Genomic DNA, 21,471 nt, shown 5'->3' on the forward strand with positions numbered 1-21,471 from the left:
TATGGTAATTCTGATCTTGACTCTCCTCTACTAACTTTCTAATCCTTAATTTGCTCTCCAATGTCTTCAGGATAAAATTCAAACTTCTTAGAACAACCTTTTCAAACCAGGACAAATAAGTGATCTAGCCCATGCTTACCTACTAAGATCTTTTTTTTTTTTTGGCCATATTTTGCAATTTATGTAACTTGCAATTCACATATGAGCAATGCTCTGGCCCAGTCTTAACCTTTGCCTTTCCTGTTTCCTCTATCTGAAAAGCTTTCTCCTCATGATTCCTTTCCCATCTAGCTAATGCCTACTCACTCTTTGAAACTCAGCGTTGGCTCTTCCACAATCATTCTTTTATTTCTTTAACCTGAATTATGTATATCTCTATATTCCTATGAACATTTTGTATACTCCATCATAGCACTTACCTAAATCTATTACAAATATTTACTTTTTAATCTCAGTTCAAGTTGATTCTGAGCTAATGGAAAATGGAGACTTTGCTGTTCTCTCATTTTCTGTGCTACTTATTATGTTATTCTTTCTCAGTTCCAAATCTATTTTTCTTTCCCTGCTTTGTAATACTAAATATAGCCGGACCATGTCAACCTTTCTCCTTTGCCCAGTGACTCAATGTTAGACCTTCTAGTAGAGAGCTCTGCAGGAACATAAGCAAATATTAGAAATAGACTTTCCTCAGGGACCAGCCCACCTATATCCTCCGACCGTTTTCTTGGCCACTTGGTAAGCCTATTGTAGGGAACAGGTCGGCCTGTGCCCTCCAGCAAGTCTCTCAGTCACTAAATGGGACATTCCTAATGCTGAGTGACACACTGCCCCACAGGTTTCTCAACCCCTCTATGGATCACTTTTTTCTTCAGCAAGTTTCTTAACCATCAGCAAGCCATTTGTTTCTGTGGCAGTCATACTTTCTCCCATAAGGTCTGAGTCTTGGCATTAAGAGAGAATTCCTCTTTTAAGTTCATTCTTAGTTTCTTCTTGTTCCCTCTCCCTTAGCCTTAGATATAGTAGCTGCTTTCTGCATTTACTGTTTCACTTGACGTGGAGTCCTTTTTTAATCGCATTTATTAGTTAACAAATTCTTTATTTTATATATACCCTGTTCAAATTACAGGTATGGTTTTCATCTCCTGGCTGGACTCTGACTGATATATTTCTTGGCACAATTCTGAGTATGGATTGAGAGCCAAGTAAATTGGGGTTAGATTTCTGACATAATGATCATTGAAAGGTGCTAAAAGTCTAAACTGCTAAGTCAGCTGGAAGGGCTAGATGTGAGGATCATTGAGAATTCAGGCTTTACTGAAGATGGTAGCTGACTACAGATGAGGGGCAAGATGGAGCCAGTGACAACCAGCACCAAGACTTCGAGGCTGAGACACTGGGAAAATGGCCTTACTTTTAAAAGAAAGAAAGAAGCAACTAAGGAGCAGAATTTCTTTAGAGAAAAAGATGGTAATTTTCAGTGACTTATTTTTTAAATAACATGCTTATTTTTTAAGAGAATAGAGACTTTTTTTGCAGTGGATGGAGAATATGTGATCATATTAATTATGTTATCCAACTGGTAAAACACAATCTAAAAAGCTCAATAAATGTCTTACTGGGCAAGGTGTCTCTTGCTCACGTAGCAGCTCAGCGTCAGCTTTTCGCTGAAGAGCTCCGACATGGTGATTTAGGGACCCAGGCTCCCTTCGTCTCATGGCTCTACTCTTTCTCTCTAGGAATCCTTGGTTAGAGCTTCTGCATCTGCTTGCAGATGGGAGAAGAGAGTGAGAAAGAAAAGTGGCCAAATTCAAATACCTGTGGCACGTTCAAGTGGGAAAATAAAGAAGAAAAAGCCCATACCACTTCAGTCTTTTTTGATTATATTAAATATCCAGGTTTGTGTGACGCAATCCCAAGTAATATTGGTATCACTGTACTATGAGCTATAAGAGAAATGTTTTAAACTTCCTATTTTAAGGAATAGTTTTTTATTATATCATGGCTTATAGTTTGGTTAATTAGCTTGTTTTCAACACAAGGGTTCTATTCAGTGGTTGCCAGGTGTATTCCATGTAATTTAGAAGAGTTCGCCTCTCTAAATAAATGGGTGCTACTGACAAAGACTACTCAACTTGTGAAAGTCCAACTTGCAAGCATCCTTAATATCATTTCAGGAAAAAAGTCACCTAGCTAAATTTTTACATATATAACAATATAACAATAATAACACTTATTGAAACTGCACTATATGACACACCATGTCATGAATGAAGCATATGGATTATTTTACTTAAGCCTTACAACTGCCATGAGAAATACTGTTTTAGTCTTTACTACGACAGTTGGAAATGTACTTTTTTTTCAATGTTGGGAACAAACAGAACTTCAACTCTGTATTCTACTTGAGCCTTTTTCCTTTCTCCACTTAACTCTTCATTCCACTGTAGCTTATAGATACTTCTTTGGAGAGTTACTATTTGGAGACAAGTTGTAAAAAAAGAATGTCACTATTTTTCCTGCTGAGAACATGCTTTTGGTTTTGCAAGTAAAAATTCAAAGTTAATTCCCACAAAGAAATAAAGATTAAAATAAAAGTTAATCTGCTGTATTACTCTCATAAATATAATATTTTAGTAGAACGAGACCTGATGAATATTTTATGTATAAATAGAAATAATAATGACTAATTCCTATAAAATATCTATGTAGTTTCCCTTTGAATTTGGAATTAAATCTAAACTCTTTAAAAGGAATTTTTCTGTTTAATATGGCTCTTGAGCCGTATCTCCAAATTTGCTTTGAGTTGTTCTCTCATTTTCTTATTTTGCTTTAGTTGTAGTGGTTGTTTTGTTTCATTTTCCTATGAATTCTAGAGTTTCCAAGCTCTTTTCATTTGGGGACTTGTCACATATCTGCTCCTTTTTCTTGGAAAGTTCACTCTTTCAATCTTCCCTTGCCTGTTCCTTCCCATCTTTCAGGTCTGGCTTAAATTTCACTTCTGAAGAGAAATCTTCCCTGAGCACTAGATTCTTCTAGTATTTGTGTTTCATAACACTCTTTTAGGTTACTTCATAGTATTTATCAAATTTTATTATAATATATTTATTTTGCTTGCTTATTTAATGTAAAAGCTTGTACTATTAATTCAATCTTATATTCACTCATTCAACAAATCTAGAGAAGGAATGAGAAGGATAAGATTATAATTGGATCTGAAAAGTCAAGCATTTTAATATACGTAAAAAAAAAATTGAACATATTTGTTCTAGTTTTTTTCCAGCTCTGTATTGTTATGTAATAAATTATCTCATAAATTAGTGGCTGAAAACAACAACTACTTTATTATACCTCATGTTCTGTGGGTCGACAATTTGGGCCTGGCCGGGTGAATTCATTTTTCCATGTTCCATGGATGGCTGTTACTTGGCAACATTCAGCAGATGGATGGGCTGCAGCACCTAGATTGGGAATAGAAGATGGAGGACAAGGCTCAGCTGGGCTTGGTCACTGGATCCTCTTTAACACAGAGGCCTCTGGTTGGTCAGGCTTTTTATATGGCAGCTCAAGGATCCAAGAACAAGTGTTCCAGCAAACAGGACAGAAGCATCATGGCCTGTTGTAAACTAGCTTTGGAAGTCCTAAGTGTCATTTCTAGCATACTCAATTGTTCATAGTAGTTGAAAACCCAGCCAGATTGAAACGGAGGGGAATTGACCCTACCTCTCCATTGAAAAGTGTCAAAGAATTTGCAACCAGGTATTAAAACCTCAATAGTATTCACATTCTCAAATGCTATGCTAATTGAGCTCTGGATAAAAGAGAATTGGAAATCATAGCCTTACTCCTAAGGGGTATATAAGAATAATGGGAAATTGTCCCATAACAGTTACAGTTCAAGAAAGAAAAACATATTCCACAGAGTGTAAATACAGCTTTACATGGATATCCAGAACATTCAAGAAAGAGCATCTCTTTCCCTCTCTTGTCTACTCATAAAATCTTATTCATTTTTAGATTCCAGATTAAATGTCAATCTTGTAATCTAAATTAATCATCAATTCAGATTAAATAGTAACACTTTTAATTTGAAGTCTTTCCTAAATCTGTTAGTCAGAACAAATCTACCTTTCCATTCTTCTCCTAGAATACTATGAAAGCATATTTACTATATGATTTATCATCATATATTCAACGATTCCATATTTTTTCTGCTAGACTGTGTGTGCCTAATAATCATAGTGCAAGTTTTTGATGTGGCAGAATACACACTCAATAAATGGATATTCAATAATGAATACTTCTTTTTAAAGTTTTTTTTAAGAACCAAGAGATAAAAGTGAAAATAATGAGTACTTCATAAAACATAAAACACAGCAAATATGATCCATAAGTTTAGCTCAGAAATCTGAACCATCAGTTGAACAGATTTTTGTGAACTACAGAGTATATTTATAACAGCAATACCAGGAGTTTGAGATCAGCCTGTGCAACATAGTGAGATTGTCTCCAGAAAATAAAACAAATTAGCCAGGTGTGGTGGCTTGCACCTGTAGTCTCAGCAACTCAGGAGGCTGAGGTAGGAGAATCACTTGAGCCCAGGCATTTGAGGCCACAGTGAACTATGATCATGCTACTACGAGACCTTGTCTTCAAACAGACTCTTAGAGCAATAACTGGCACATGGTAAGCGTTTATCAAATAAACCTCATGGTTCTTTGTATTTCAATCAGAACAATTGGCACACTTGGATATGAATATGCCTGACTTTTTTCTGTATTTTGAGATCTTAGAAGTCAGCAATCTTGTCTCATGCAACTTACTATCCCCTATAACATTTTAACAATACTTTATAATTACAATTTGCATTTGGTTTACAGAGTTTTTTCATGTTTATCATTTATACCCTTTTTAAAGATGCTTAAAGGAGTGGTCAAATGTTTCCACCTTGTCAGGATGAGATCTGAATATAAAGTTATCCATTCAAAACTAATAACCTTTTGGGAAATCTATATAAATAATTTTCCAAGTAATTTCTGAAATTCTGTGTTTCTGGGAATTCTATACAATTTTGAATAGGACATTCATTAAAATAAAACATACATACTGAAAAAGGCACAAATAATAAATGTCACATAGACTAATTTTTATAATTTGAACACAGTTGTGTAATCAGAATCCATATTATATATTGATAAAATTATTTTATAATTAAAATATTTATTTGTATTAACACATCTTTCCAAGTGTAAAATTACCTTTGTTTTGGCAATTATATTTTAAAGTCAAAAGCAAATGCTCTTCAAAGGCAAAATAATTAAATTGCTAAAATATAGTAAGTATACCTGCACTTTCATAGTCTTGCCAAATGCATAATTGGGAAAGGTGCTTTGTGTCAGAGTTAAGTGTTTGCTTTAGAAGTCAATGACTAAAATCTTTTTAAGATTTATCACTTGTTATCTCAGAAGAAAAATCTACCATTTCTATAAGGCCTTATCAAATAAGCTGTAAGCTATATAACACATGTATTAACATATAGTAATATAAATAATGATAAAAATATGCTTATATTCTACACTTGGATTTTCAGTAATTAAATCTACTCATTGTATTAATAGCGTTTCCCTAAGAGGCTAATCACCACTCACAACACTGAAAAAGTTAATAATGGAATTTAAATGACACTTTGAAACTGTGGTTGAATCCCTCATGGACATTCAAGTTTTATTTCCCATCAAGACATCTACCTAGAGAATCTTGAAGATTATAAAACACACATACCTTGATATTTAGTGGGGAAAAAAATTATGGTTTTTTACTTCTTTTTTTTTAATAGTTCCTCTTTCCAACCCGCATTTGGTAAAGTTTTTTCTCCTCCTGTAGTGTATAGATTCTGAACGATACCTCTTCAGACCTGGGTTTTCTTTTTCCACATAAGAGCAAGGAAAACAAAATGATACGCAAAAAAGATATTCTGCCTAGAATCTTAAAGTCGGAGTAAACTGTGTTTGAGTTTGCATCTCACGTGATGCACATGTTCTCTATACAGCGTGAGTCTTATAAAATAAACAGTTTTTCTTCAGACTTAATTAAACAGAATCAAGTTTCAGCCATAGTATTTAGTCTTGGATTTCAGAATGCTTCTTGTAGAAAGCACTAGGGAAAGGGAATGTACAGAAAAATCAAGGAATGGTAGGTAGGTAGCCACTAATTAATGAAAAAAGAGCCCTAAATAACTCTAAATATTTAGGCTTGATAGTTTAAATGTGCTTACAGGGGTGGCTATTAGGCTGTTTGAGAGATGGTCAGTTCATTCAGGGGACAATGCATGTCCCTCAGAGCCACCGCTGTGAAGAGGAACAAAGAACCGGGGCAGCCTCACCCTAACCCATTCTCTACTGCAACACCCCTTGTTCACAAAGCCCCTTTCAACTGTCCTTTATTCTAGATGTTTACTTTTTCTGATTCAGGCCTCTTTTTGCTATCTCATGCATTGCATTTCTATCCCTCCAGCAGGCTGGACCCCAAACACAAGCTATCCACAAAGGCTGCCATAGAAGAAAACAAATCTCAAGACACAGATTCAATAATTTTGTATAAATGCTTTATGAATTTTTCACTTTTTATAAAACAATAACCAAATGCACCTTTGTGCAAGCTAAAATAAAGCTCTTGGAGAGAAATATACTGTAATAACAAGTTAAAGTTATAGTATAAGCATTTAGAGGATTCTTTCATCTTAACGTTCCAAATAATCACATATGGGCAAATATTACCACCTGAGTAATATTAAGAATGGTAGAGTCAATATTTATTGTGTTATAAAATTGCTATGTTTGGTTTTGAGCTTGATTTTTAGGTTTTTGTTTTTGTAATTTCAAAATTTTTAAATCTTTGAATGTGAAATAAATGAATGTGTGTATATGATATTACCCTATAGAATTATTTGTACATATGATATTTTCCTAGAATATGTGGTTTATATATAAAGTTATATCTGAAAATGAGTGGGGTGTGGCTTTTAAATTAAAGCTTCTTCTAAGTTATTAATTAAAAAAGAACCAATAAAACAATGAACTTCTAATTTTTTGAAAAATATCATCATAATCTGGTCAAAAAAATATTTACAATGCTATTGCCATTTACAGTTGGAAATGTCAACATTTGCAAAGATTTATTACACAATTATCTGAGACATTTATATAAACGAATAGATTCTATTCACTCTCAACATTTGAGAAGAAACTACAGTATAATTTAAAATACATATTAAATAATAAGAAAACTAAATAGTGGTAAAACCTATAAGAAAACTTTATTTTTAATTTGGATTAAATTACAGGTCATTGAATCTAGTAAAAATTACTGACTTACTATTCCATATTTTTATTTTATAAAAAACTTGCTAGTTTAAATTTGTTTTAATAAAAGGCATATTTCAAGCCTTATAGGAATCCATATCATAGTAATCAAGATTTATAACAGCATTATACAAATTTAATGCTGTGGATTTTTTTCAGGCCCTTTGATGTAAAAAGTTAAAATAATTTTTTCATATCAAGGGGAAATGTTACTGTTTCCCAGACTACCACCTTCACTTTAGAAGGGAACATGACACACCGGGGCCTGTCGTGGGGTTGGGGGAGGGATAGCATTAGGATATATACCTCATATAAATGACGAGTTAATGGGTGCAGCACACCAACATGGCACATGTATACATATGTAACAAACCTGCACATTGTGCACATGTACCCTAGAACTTAAAGTATAATTAAAAACAAGAAATAATAAATCATTATTAAAGATTTTCTAAAAAAAAAGAAACATGCTCATGTTCAATCTACTATTTACACTTTTAAAATTACTAAAAGAGTTACATAAACACATTTTTAAATTTCCCCATTTTCTTTAAACATGTAGCTCATGTATGTATTTTTAATTGGGACAACCCTGCTTTTCCAAAATCTCAAATACTTTAAATAAAGTGCAAGTGCATGCAAGCGATGATGACCCTTAAAAGCAGTCATAAATTTAGTCGCTGGGAAATGAGAAGGCTTCACAGATGACTTAATTTGCTGTGGGAACCTGTGCTTCCTCCATGTGTAACCTCTGCATTTTGCTGTCTGTGACCTTCAGCAACATCCACCTGCTGGAAGCCATGTTTGATTCTCTGACCAGGGAAACGCCTGCTTGACAGCAGAATGGTATCATAGGACAGTGTGATGGAATTTTTCTTTCTCTGTCATCATTAAGGGGGTTCCCCCTATGGTGAGGGGAATGAAAAGTACGATTTAATGTTCTCTGGAGAGTGGCGGAGGGAAGAAAGACTCAAAGCTTCACATGCTGCTTTCGGAGTGGGTCATTTCAGTCCTTGTGGCGAATGGGATGTCCCAGTGGAATTTGCCATAGACTGGTCTGAAAAGAAAGGGATTAAGACCCTTTTAAGGATGGAAATGTAACAAAAGGACCACTTTTATGATGTAGCAGCATAAAATAAGGGCTCTATTGTACAACTGATTGCTAAAGATCTTTGAATTGGGTAGCCTAGCCTGGTAAGCCCTGTTTCCTGAGGGTTTAGAGGCTTGTACAAATGATATGTCTATACTAGAATCAGAGTTCTGCTCTCATTTAGGGGCAAGTAAGAGATTATCAGTTTGTTCCTACATGATTTTTTTCTACACCTACCGAAAAGTGGCCTGTAGGGAGATTATACTCTAGTGAAAGTTGCTGCTAATTAAAACAAGTAATTAGTGTTCCTCCAGGCTTTGCGGTTTCACTCACTTTTGCCCGCCAGACAGCATTAGTTTAAAAGCAATCCAATTTCTAGCAATAACAGACTGTAAAAAAAAGTCATTTAACAAGTATATAAGTGTAAGGTTACAGTTCAGGCATTGATTTATCTTTTCTGGGCTACTTAGAAATACTGTAGCAAAGTTGAAGAGAAAGAAAGTTAAATAGCTTTAAAAAAATTAATGTTAAGGAAAGAAAAAAGACCACATGCCTCAGTCCATTCACAAAAAGAAAAAAAAGACAAGCAAAAACTGGGAGCATATAAGACTTCCTAAATTGCATTAGGAAACCAAAATTGGATTTAATGCTGTTTTCTCATAGAACCCTCACTTAGCATTTTGTAAACAGATCATTTCATTAAGTCCTTTTGTTTCTTCTCCCGCCTTTGCTGAAACAGGGACTTTTTATTGACTGATTCTCATTGAAATGAATTGGAGCAGTAGAGTTGAACACAACACGCTATTACCTCCTTTTTTTTTCACAATTCCAAAATGACTAGCATGGTTTTATTTTGCATATCTGGTGGGAGGATTTAGTTAAACTAGAGAGATCTTGAGAGAGATTAAAATATTTTATTATAAAAAGATATAACAGAAATTAATATTAAAAAAACCATACCTACATTGAATCATGCCCTGATAAATTCTTGTCTAATTACTCAGTTTTTGTAACCTGACATACTTCTATAATTGCTGCCTTTGCTGCTTAAAATGATCTATTTCTGAGGTTGGTATCATCAAAGACATGTGTGCTATTGTGCAAGCAATTCAATATAGCTCATCATTAAAATCAGCTGTAACTCTACTTTCCCTTTAACAAATGAATTCATAATACTTTAATTAATGCAAAATTTTCAGATTTATAGTTTCTCCAGTGCTTGTTTTTTTAAATGCTGACTATTCCCCTACAAGATAAAAACTTTGCTATGCATTTCAAAGAGCGCTATTCATATAAATAATATTATATGTGTGAAAGTCATTTATTATAAACTGTTAATGCCACAAAAATGTTTGCTGTTATCCCCTTTTCAACTGGTGGATTCCAAATTTAGTGATCTTTTTCAATTGATTACAATTAATTATTAAGTAGCCTGAATGTTATCATTGCAGGTTAATATAAGACTGTATATTTATTATATTTTAGAAATCAATTTTTAGAATATAAATATGTTTTCCATAAAGACTAGCAGCTTTTTAAAATTAATAAAATAAATTTTCATCATGTGACTTATAAACTCTTAACTGTATTTTAAAGTTTTAGTATATGCTTTTCCTTTCCTCAAATGTATTTCCAATCTTATTTATAGAAGATTTTGGGACACCAAACTTAAAAAAGAAATGTTGCATGTAAGGGTCAGTAAGTAGACTTTATCTGAATCTCTGCTTAACTTTTAAAGATACTGTGAGAAGAAAAAATAACTTGGTGATAACTTATTTTCCTAGAAAGGAATATGTGAAATAATGAAGATGACTTTCATTAATAACTGCATTCCACGTATAGATCATTTTCCCAATAGAAACTTATAGTTTCCAAAAATCTAAAATCAATTTATAATCCTTGCAGAATGTCAACCATAGTATGCTGAAAATGTTTCCTTCATATTATACCTTTTTCCTGATAATTAGAGCTATGCTCAACTGGCATTTTAAGAGAGTTTTTTGTTTTGTTTTGTTTTTTGCTTCTTGTTTAATGGTAGAAAACCTTCTTTCAAAATCAGTCTTTGACAGTATTTGATTTTCTGAAATTGAATTCAGGCTACTTCTATCAAGTCTCCTTTTGAGCTAAGAACTTGCTTTTTATTTCAGAGTTGATGAGCTGGAGAATGCGACTGGCAGCACAGGCCTAGGGCACCAGAGGGCAGACTGTACAGAGACCTGTGAGAATGGTCAGAACTCCATGGATCATGATGGAATGATCAGGGACACTATAATAGCGTTCATTTTATGTATTAAGCCAGATTTGCACAACAATTCCATTGTAATACAAATGTAATCTTTAGAAGTAATTTTAAAGCAGCAAATGTAGAAATGCCAACTCTCAAGTAAAAGAAAACAATTTTCCTAAGCCAAATGTCTTTTGTAAGAGATTTCAATGGTCATTTGATTTTAGTTTAAAGATCATCTGACCTTATGATTCACCCGATTCTTAAATGCACATCTCAAATATAATTGTCTTCATTTGGAGTTAATGTATAAAAAATAAAAACAGTGAAATAACCCTTTGTGCTTTGTTCTACTGCTGTGCAGTGCTTTTGTCTAACTACAAGAAACTCTAAGTATACAATTATTAGTATTAAAACTGATGTCTCCAAGAGTTCAATGTTAATTTTACTTAAAAAATTTATACTGAAAAAATGGTTTCTCCATATTCCTTGTAATATGGCTATTTAATCTAAGTTCACTCAGCTCAGTCATATAGTCTTTTGAAAACAGAGATGATATGATATTTATATAATATAATAAAGATCAATAGTGTTTATGAAATTTCATAAAATTAAATTTCTTTGAATTTTATTAATATTTTACTAGATATGGGGTAAGCATAAACTTTCATTGTACCAATAATTTAGGAGTTTCTGTAAGAGATAAAATATGTAAAAGATTGGACAATCTGTTGAAGCATGCTATCTAAAGATCAGTCTTGTGTCATTCCATACCAGGAAACACCTCTACCATCTGTGGAATTTATCCTCTACACAGAAGAACTGAGCAGGAAGAGTAGAATTAACATTTATGAAAAGCTGCAAAATGCCAGGCATCAGGCCAAGCACTTTACATATATTGTCTCATTAATTATAACAATTTTGAAGATAAGCACTCAGCAGCTAAGACAGATTAACTAATATACTCCACAAAAGTTAACTAAAGGGGATTTATTTTAAAAATCAACATATTTGCTGAAAAATATGTATGGAGTAACTGCAATGTACCAGCCATCGTGAGAATCACATTGTGGGAAGCTGTGGACAAGACACATGAGCTCCCTGCTATATAGAAACGTACATCCGAGTAAGGGAAGAGATGCCATACACATGTAGATAAATAGGTAAATAAATATACAATATACTGATAATTATATAAAGGAGTTTAAGATATTTTATAATTAACTATTAAATAAATTTGTTCACAAACTAATGCTGAATTTTTCCAGATTATTTTGACTTTTTGAGCCTAAATTTGGACTTTTACATTTTGTTCTATTTAATTCTGTACATTTTAGTCAGTTTTTCTCATACTTTAACTTCTTTTTGATTCCTGATATTTTCTTTCACTGAAAAGGTATGGCCAGGCAGACCATACCACTTATGTTATGCAGACCCATGCCAAATTGTACTCACCTTTTCCAGGTAAACTTTATTCTGAAGAGATTTTGAACGCTACTTCAACCCTCACCTTAAAGAGAATTTTTGGTGCCAATTGGGTCTACTGGCCTTTGGCCCATGCTGTCTTGACTTGCCCCTTTTTCTCCTATGTTACTCGACTGATTCTTTTTTATGAAGGAACCCTTTGGTTCCTTGCATTTCTTCATCTTCAGTATTATAGCTACCATTCACTAAATGTTTCCTGTGTGTCTACCACTATTCTAAATATGCATTTCTTTACAATTGCATCTCACGTAATCCTCCAGTTGACATACAAGAAAAAGTATTGCTGTTATCACCATTTTACAAATGAGAAAAATGAGGTACAGAGAGATCATGTCCCCAAGATCATACCTTCAGTAAGTGATAAAGCCAGGATATTTAGAAGAAGCCAGTTCAGTGATGTTACTCTTAATTTCATATTTCAGAGTCTTTATAGCACTGAATCCATCTTCCATTTTAAAATGAATGGCCATGGAATCAAGACTCTTTTTCTCTCAACATTTTTAAAGTGTTACCCTAAAGTCTAGAGTACAGGTTAAATTATGTTCAGTGTTTGTTGCCATAGTTGTTACAAATTCTGTGTTAATAATATCACAACATCTTGCATTTCCAAACACCACTTTTCCAAATCATGCTTCAATAGCAGGAAGAATGGTAGAGTAGAAAGGGCATGGGCTCTGCAGTCAGCTAGGGTTGCATTCAAATCTAGCTCTTTTGTTTTAGCTATGTCACTTTGGGCAATTTATTTAATTTCCCCTAGGCTCAGTTACTTTTTCTTCTCATTAAGGATAATATCTGTTTTGGGGGATTGTTATGGGAATCAACTTAACACAAGTAAAACGGTTTGGTACATGCTTTGCATTCAATAATTTTGACTTTATGTTTACTTAGAATTGAGATTGAACTTGTGATTCTTTTTATTTTTCCATAGACGTTTGAGAGAGATTTTTTTTCCCAAAAGTTGAGTCGTTTTGTCAGATGCTCTGTGTTTAGTTCCATGACTTACCATAGTCTGCATAGAGTCTGCCATATATTCATTCATCATTCATTCACTCATTTATTTAGCAAGTAAGGCAGCAAGCAAGCATACGTAATAGAATTATTATGCCAGACTCTGTGCTAAACAGTGATTCAGAGGTATGTGAGAGCAACCTAGAAGTTCACATTCATATAGTGATAGAGGTATGAGAGAAATAAACAAGGGAGCTAAGTTTATATTAAAATCTGAATAGAGAAAATATTATCCAGATCTTCTCTCTGCCAAGGTGATCTGTACTCAACAGCCCCTTACATTTGGTTTCATCTGTAAAGTTACCTAAATGTCCTTATAAGATTCATTTCTTCTCTGAAATGCCATGCGTCTATAATTGTGTCATGGTTGGTTCTCTTTTTTAATTCTTACTTAAATGACATTGACTACATTTCCTCATTAAGGTTTATAGAATTTATTGGAAATAGAATGCCTAATTTGCAACCAGTATCGCTTTGCATCCTTTACAATAGGTCAGGTTTGTACATAATATAATGTTTTCAGTGTGGCCAGTTTACCTGATACCTAGCGGGAAACGTAAATTTTGTAACAGATCATTTGCCCTATTTTTTTCTAATAATTTTTGGGGACCTCCTATAACCCCTTTTATTTTTTCTTCATCATATCCTTTGTTAATCAAAGTATCTAATAGTATTATCTGGGCATTCCCCCACAAAAACCTTATATTACAGTAATATTTTTAATACATATCACATTGACCTGAATATGTTTGGATACATACAGCAGAATACTCAAGCAGCTTCAATGTGAGACACATTAACACACACTTGAAGACACACTGGAACTTTAACCATGATATCCTTGGGTTGAACCTCTGTAAAGAATTAAGGTAGAAAATTTGGCACACTGTTGCCTGTTGGGAATAACTTTACATAAGCAAAGACAGAGCTTTGGTGGCAAACTACCACAGTCAAACTTACAGATGACATAAAGAAGTCTTCAAGGGTTGACCTTTTCTAGCATTCTCTACTTCCAATATTCTGTTATTCTTTTCTTTCAGTGCATTTATACCACATTCTTTTTATTATCACCTGCCTCTATCCTAGTATGTAAGTTTGATGAAGAGAAGAAAGTTTGGCAACTATTGCGTTATCATGATGTTCCTCAAATAGGAATGAATGACATGAACTGGTAATACAGCACAGAAAATATAGTAAGATTTAGATGCTTTAGTTAGTATCATATAGTATTTGGAGAGACACTTTTTTTTTTTTTGAGAGAGAGTCTCGCACTGTTGCCCAGGCTGGAGTGCAGTGGCGCCATCTCAGCTCACTGCAAACTCCATCTCCCGGGTTCAAGGAATTCTCCTGCCTCAGCGTCCTGAGTAGCTGGGATTACAGGAGCACGCCACCATGCCCAGCTAATTTTTGTATTTTTAGTAGAGACGGGGTTTCACTATGTTGGCCAGGCTGATCTTGAACTCCTGACCTTGTGATCTGCCCTCCTTGGCCTCCCAAGCTGCTGTGATTACAGGCATGAGCCTCCGCGCCCGGCTGGAGAGATAATTTTTTCAAGGCGAAAAGATGTATTCTAAATTAGAGCCACATATGGAAATTAGGATTCTTGCCTCCTCCAACTCTAAACTTATGCAATTGTAAAACTGCTTTGCTAGAAAATGCCAATATCATATCTCTTTTGGAGAGACACTTTCTAAAACAGATATGATACTGGCATTCTAGACCAAAGGGATTTTACAATTGCATGAGTTTAGAGTTGCAGGCAAGAGTCCTCATTTCCATATGTGGCTCTAATTTAGAATACATCTTTTCGCCTTGAAAAAATGTTTACTATCATGGAAAATTTATTGCTATATCTGTAAAATAATGATCAAGCTGTAGAATGAAGACTAGGAAGCTCAAGTTTTCTTTCATTCCATCTTTACAACAATGATTTTATTTATTCATGAGTGGAAGGTTATGGCACTGAGAATAGAGATGTAGATGCAGAAAAGAAAAAGGTGTAATCATTGCTCTTCAGCATTCTCTGGCAAAATAGGATAAGAAAACTTACAATTGAATCAGAATGTGTGAAGGACTAGCATCTAACTAAATGTAGCACAGAATTATGCTCCTAACAGAGATTGGAGCAAGGGAAGAAAAAGAATCAAAGTAAGTCTCCAAATGGAGACAATTAATGAATTGAATTTTTAAAAAGTAAAGAGAAGTAAGGCAGGATGTTCAAAATGATGAAATTCCAACATGCTTACAATAATGCTTTTATCATGTGGACTAATACTTTCCATGAATTAATGTTGATTCAAGCAATTTAATTCACGATTAACGTATGTATTCTTTGCTCCTATACTAAAGAACTACCTGCAACTCCCGAACTTTAAGTGTAAATGCAAATAATACTCTTGTTTCGTATTTAGTTCACGTAAATATTTCAGCAGCACAATGAGATCAATGAACCATATTTTGAAGCCTCTGCTCCCTACAGGTAAGGATTTTCCTCTTTATTTCCTTAACGATTTCAAACCCGCAAAAGTGTCATCTGTATTCCTTATGACCAGTTTCCTTGGGCTAAATTCAGACTTTTTCCTATATAAACTGTTATCAACGTAGCCACCAAAATTGTACTCAAAGGAGATTCAATATTCCTCCACATTTTCCTATTTTTATGACTTCCCTTGCTGCCACACACAATTGACCACAATCTCCTCATGGACAAATTTTATAGCCTTACCTTTATAAACTTCATTGTTTTCCTAATGTTTTCTAATTGATTCTCACTAGAATTTAAGCTCTAAGAAAGCAGTGTTCTCACTTGTTTTGTTCACTGACATATCCTAAACTCTGCAACAGTGCCAGATGCATATAGGCACTCAATACATACTTGAAAACAATACATTGTTAACTTCCCACTTTGTGGGAAAACAGGTAGAGACTACTAAAAACATGAACAATGTATTTTTAGTTCTTTCTGTCCTTTTCACTAGATGTCAGTTTCTTTTTTCGATGACATTATATGAGAAAGATTATTTAACATTAGGATATAAATACATGTTTATTGCAAAAAAATTAGAAATAAAACACGTATAATTTCACTCTACCAAGGTAAAACTACTGTTTATATGTGAATATATATAGTTTCAGGGTTTTTATCTATGTGTATAGATTGGATTAATATTTAATTAGATCACAGATATACAGTTAGGAACATGATAGAATAAATGGTGAATACAGAAAATTTCAACTGAGATCAAAGAAAGAGACGTACATTTTCACATGCTAAGTGAGATTAATAAAAGATCAATTTTAACCTTGTTAATTAAGCTTGTAAAGACATTAAAATCTGGTTACTTTACCTAACTTTCCTGGTAGGATGTATGACCTCATTAATCACTTTAGAAATCTGAAAATTGATTTGAGAGGCTGTCTCAGAAAGGCTGTCTTAGTTAGTTCAGGTTACTATAACTAATTACCCTAGGCTGAGTAGTTTAAACAACAAACATTTATTTCTCACACTTCTGGAAGCTGAAAATCTGAGATCAGGGTGCCAGCATCATCTGGCAGTGAGGGCCATCTTCCACGCTGCAGAAAGCCAACTGCACCTTAAATTCTTCCGCTAATTCTCTGGCCTCTTTTTTTAAGGGCACTAATCCCATTCATGAGGGCTCCACCCTCATGACCTAATCACCTCCCATAGGCCCTACCTCCAAAAAGCATCACTTTGGGGATTATATTTCAAGATATGAAATTTGGGTGGGGTGGGCACAAACAGTCCGTAACAAAGATAAAGCAAGACATTAATTTATCCTTCCCACTTAGGATGATAGGGTTAACAAAGAAAATGGTGCACCTACTTTAAAAAAAATTTTTTTAACTTGCTGTTATAATTTAAAAGCCATTAACCACCTACTCTTGTCTCATAATCATTGGAATTGTTGTTAATTAATCAATGAATGCATAATTTCTTCTGAAAAATAAGTAAGCCCACATGACCACTTTTCAACATGTATATAAAAATTGTGTTTATTAATTTGGGCTGGGCGTGGTGGTTCACACCTGTAATCGCAGCACTTTGGGAGGCTGAGGATCACGAGGTCAAGCGTTTGAGACAAGCCTGGCCAACAGAGTGAAACTCCGGTGGTGGGTGCCTGTAATCCCAGCTACTCAGGAGGCTGAGGCAGGAGAATCGCTTGAACCTGGGAGGCAGAGGTTGCAGTGAGCTGAGATCGCGCCACTGCACTCCAGCCCGGGCGACAGTGCAAGACTCCGCCTCAAAAAAAAAAAAAAAAGTGCTATCTCCTAAAATAACTCATGTCTCCTCCAAACTTCCCAAAGATGTATTTTTCTTCCTATTTCTATGAAAGCACTCATACTTAACTCGAAAGCATGACTGAAGCTCGCTTGGCATAAAGTGCACTGCAATTGAAACCCACAGGCCAAGATCCAATGCCTTGTTCTCTATTTTTTCGCCATATGACATTAAACAGACAACCCATTTTTCCAAGTTTTCCTGGGCCTGGGGCTTGACCAATGAGAAAAGTAGGTGAGATCATCTCTAAAGACCCTATCATTCTTATATTTTATAATCCTATAATAAATCACTTTATATTACAAAGATCTTAAGGGTTCTGTGTAGTTAAATGTATTTTGTGCTTTAAATTTTTGTTGTTGTCATTTTTTTCTGTGTGTTTTTCTATAACCACTTTGATTGACAGAAGCCTCTTTACCTGTCCTTTGCAATGCTGCATAATCTTTAGCAATTAAGTTAGTCAAACTGATATAAATCATGACTTCCTTCCTACTAGAAAGTTTTATGTGAAATTTGTACAACTAGAAACGTGGGCTATGAAAGTTTCATACAATTCAATTTTTCCATTATAAATGGCAGTCTATTTACTTTAGAATTTTTCTAGTGGTTTAGACTTTGCCTGAACCAGCAATTTAGAGCAGCCTCTAAAAAAATAAAATTAAAGAAGGTGACATTCATATTTGTGCTGGCCTCCAACTCAAACTGTGTGTCTCACAGTGAGTCTTAGCATAAGACATGTGATTGAAGGATACTTCTGTGAAACAACTGCTCAGGGGGAAGTATGTATCATCTGAGTCCAGTTCAGAAAAGACAGCTGTCCACCTGGAAATCTCTCAGCCTAGTAGAAATGGCCATCCTATGTGTTGTTGTGTCATCCAAGAAGCTCAAAACTGAATGGACATGCAGGCAATATTAATCCTTTGAACCTTCAAAGGGGCCACTGCTTTGTGATTAAAGATAGGTCCTAGTCACCTGGTCCCATTAGTTCATGAATGATGACCTTTTTAACAACACCCTGAAGTCAGCTTTAAAGTAGGGCACTAAAATGGAATTTAATAAAACACAGAACCTAGAAAATTGAAAACAGGAAAAAGTTAAGGTATTCTAACATTACAGGACTTGAAAGCATTGTTTTTCTTCTGCCATATCAAGCAACCTAGTTTTAACCCAGTAAAGAGAAAAATAATGATAAGGTAATGAATATTTTTATGGAATGGGTTACTGTACTTTAGAAAACGTTTTGAGGTCTTTATTAGACCAAAACAGAATAATTCAGTTTTAATGCCATAACAAACTTTACATTTAATAATGTAAGTTGAGTTCTGACAGGGTGTCGGTTTGTATAATTTGTAGGTACTTAATACATGCTTAGTGAGAATGATGAGACTAGTGATCATTTTGATTATTAAAGAATATGAAAACAATACGGCAAAAGGAAGTTCTTCCCTTCTGTTTATGTGGTCATACTTATTTACCACATTTTAAAAATGCTAGTATTTTAATTAAGAAAGACATGTTAGCTTAGAATACCAGAATAAAACTAACCTAATTTTCAGAATCATCAATATGAAGAAAAACTTTGTTGAGGGCTTATTTTATTCCCCAAAATTCAGAAGATTAAAACCAATTGAAATTTAATGTGGTCATATTATTTCCAACCTGAATTTCAAATAAATTATATGACCTATTTCAAGACATACACAATTGTTTCAAACACACTTTGAAACAATTAAATAGAAAGTTTATCTGTGCCTTCTTTGTAGAATCTGGTGTACACTTTTTTTTAGTTTAAAATTATGCCCATGATTGAAAATTAATAAATAAAACTTCTAGATTTTAGTTTAGTAACCATCTGTGAAGATTAACCTCTCAGAACTATATCAGCTTTTTGTTTTATTTTTTTCCTTCTTTTGCTCTTTCTTTCTTTTTTCTTTCTCTTACTTTCAATTGCATGATAAATTCTGGATTATGCCTCACTAAGGCTTCAACACTACATTTAATGAAGTTGTTGAACTTTTAACCTTTGAGTTCAACACACTTGAAAACTACCACCAATATATATTGCGCTTTTTTCTGTAGTTCTGTGTCAAATATAGTGAGGGTCTTTTAGTGTAGAGGACTGTTTACCCAGGCTCTTTGTAAAAACAAATGGAAGGCATTTCATTTTTTACTGGTCTTTTTTAAAATTCTGGAAGAAAAATATGCTGGGGTTCCCTAGAACAACCCCCTCCCTATCCTGCTCCTCTGCTGGTAATTGGTCTACAAATAAAGAGCTCCTGAGTGTCAGCTTCCAATGAAAAGTCATTTATTCATAACCAGACATCCAGCTTCCCAACAGAAAGGATTGTTTTTTCCAAGATCATCTTATATCTTTCAAACTCATCCTGTCTATTCAGCCATGCATACTGCCTGCAAGGCAGCACAAGCAACATTTCTTAGTTTCATAACCAAACAGTAGCAATGCTTTCAAAGGAATCAAAAGGAAGGAACTTTTTTTTTAATGTAGGATTTATACTTACCTTTTACTCTTTGTGTCATTAAACCGTTATAAATGTTGTTCCAAGCTCCGTCCTTCGATAGGGAACCAAAAAAACAGGCAGTTCTCTGTCTTATTTGTTGGAGGAATAATCTGATGAGCAGTGAACACTAGAGGGGGAGCTTACCCGTTCAGGAGCATGAGTGAAAGCTTCAGACCCTCTGGGAGAGGATCAGAGTGATAATAGAGCTACTGACTTAAACAAGGCAAGCTAGGATTTGGTCAGCAGTGGTTCCGAAGTCAAAAGGTCAAGAATGGTACGTAGCCAACTTATTGTCACTTTCCAAAACGGCAAGAAATCACAGTGAAATTGAGAAATTTAGCTGCTGCTTATACCATGATATGGAATATTTTAAAAATCTCTCTGGAGGCAGCTATACTATGAGGAGTAAGATTACAGAGGCTTTCCCCCCCTTGACTAGGGCTCTCTGTCATTTAAATGTCTAAGGAATGATGGAATGAATTATCATAAAATTTTGACAAATTTGATGGCTCAAGCAAAAGGGGGAAATAAGCACTCCGATTATCAGGTTGTAATAAGACATGACATTTAAAATGAGTTTACATGGCAGTTAGACAGACCTTTGCTTTTTTCCCCTTGGTTTAAAAACACTGGGATCCTTTTCTTTGGAAAGGAATTAACTTATTTCAGTTTCTCTTCTCCCTAGCTTAACAAGTATGAATCCTATTACACCAATTATACGTTTCCATCCCTTGTAACCATAGTCCAATTGCTTTCCACAATTTGCCTAAATTTAAAAAAAAAAAAGAACATAACTTGAAAGCAGCAGAATATTTAAGTAGAGATATTTAGTATAAATTTGGTAGAAAAAATATAAGAAATATAAGTTGTTCTTTCATTTGTTATTAGGCTATTTTTTTCTGTATCATCTTACAACACAGTAGATAGGATGTATTGATTTAGAAGAACAAACTATACTTTTCAAAAAGAAATAAAGCAATAAAAGTGATTAACCAAAAAACTGAAAAACAACATTGATTTTCTCTGATGCCACTCACCCCTACTTCTTTACCAAATATAAACTTTTCTTTCAAATAATCTATCTCTTTAAGCCACATGAAAAATCCAAATTATTATGTTTATATTATTTACTAGAAATGTTTGGTTTAAAAAAGATAATTCAATCACAATTAATCTGCTCTTTGGAAACATCCTGCACTTCTAGTTAAAAATTAATAGAGTCTGTGGCATTTTAAAACTATGTACTATTAGTACTATTAGAAAACATATTTCTGTAAAAAAAAAAAAAGAAGAGGAAATAAAGACTTTTTTAAGAAATATGTTTAGGGTGATTTTAACTTTGTCAGGCTCCAACTACTAAAAGTGGAAAGAAGTCACCTGACTTTAGAAAGTGAGCTCTGTATAGATGGCCTGATAACTGACCACCTGACTTTACCTACAATTACTTGAATTATACGAACAAAATAATGTGGTTTGATGAAAATTTT

The 21,471-nt window shown here is 34.1% G+C and overlaps 1 long non-coding RNA gene across 3 annotated transcripts in view; it reads right to left on the reverse strand.

Moving 5' to 3' along the window:
• The window catches only part of LOC105379082 (uncharacterized), a 135,090-nt gene extending 114,999 nt beyond the window's left edge, over window positions 1-20,091 (reverse strand). For 2 of the 3 annotated variants that reach the window (NR_188298.1, NR_188297.1), the window contains exons 1-2: window positions 19,985-20,091; window positions 3,349-3,458 (exon numbers count right to left, since the gene is read on the reverse strand). This is a non-coding gene — a long non-coding RNA (uncharacterized LOC105379082). Of the gene's footprint in view, window positions 1-1,616; window positions 1,762-3,348; window positions 3,459-19,984 lie in introns of all 3 variants that reach the window. The other variant, NR_188296.1, reaches the window with a different exon arrangement.
• Window positions 20,092-21,471: the final 1,380 nt, after the last annotated feature.

This window comes from Homo sapiens, chromosome 5, assembly GCF_000001405.40.
Source record: "Homo sapiens chromosome 5, GRCh38.p14 Primary Assembly".
Lineage (NCBI taxonomy): Eukaryota > Metazoa > Chordata > Mammalia > Primates > Hominidae > Homo > Homo sapiens.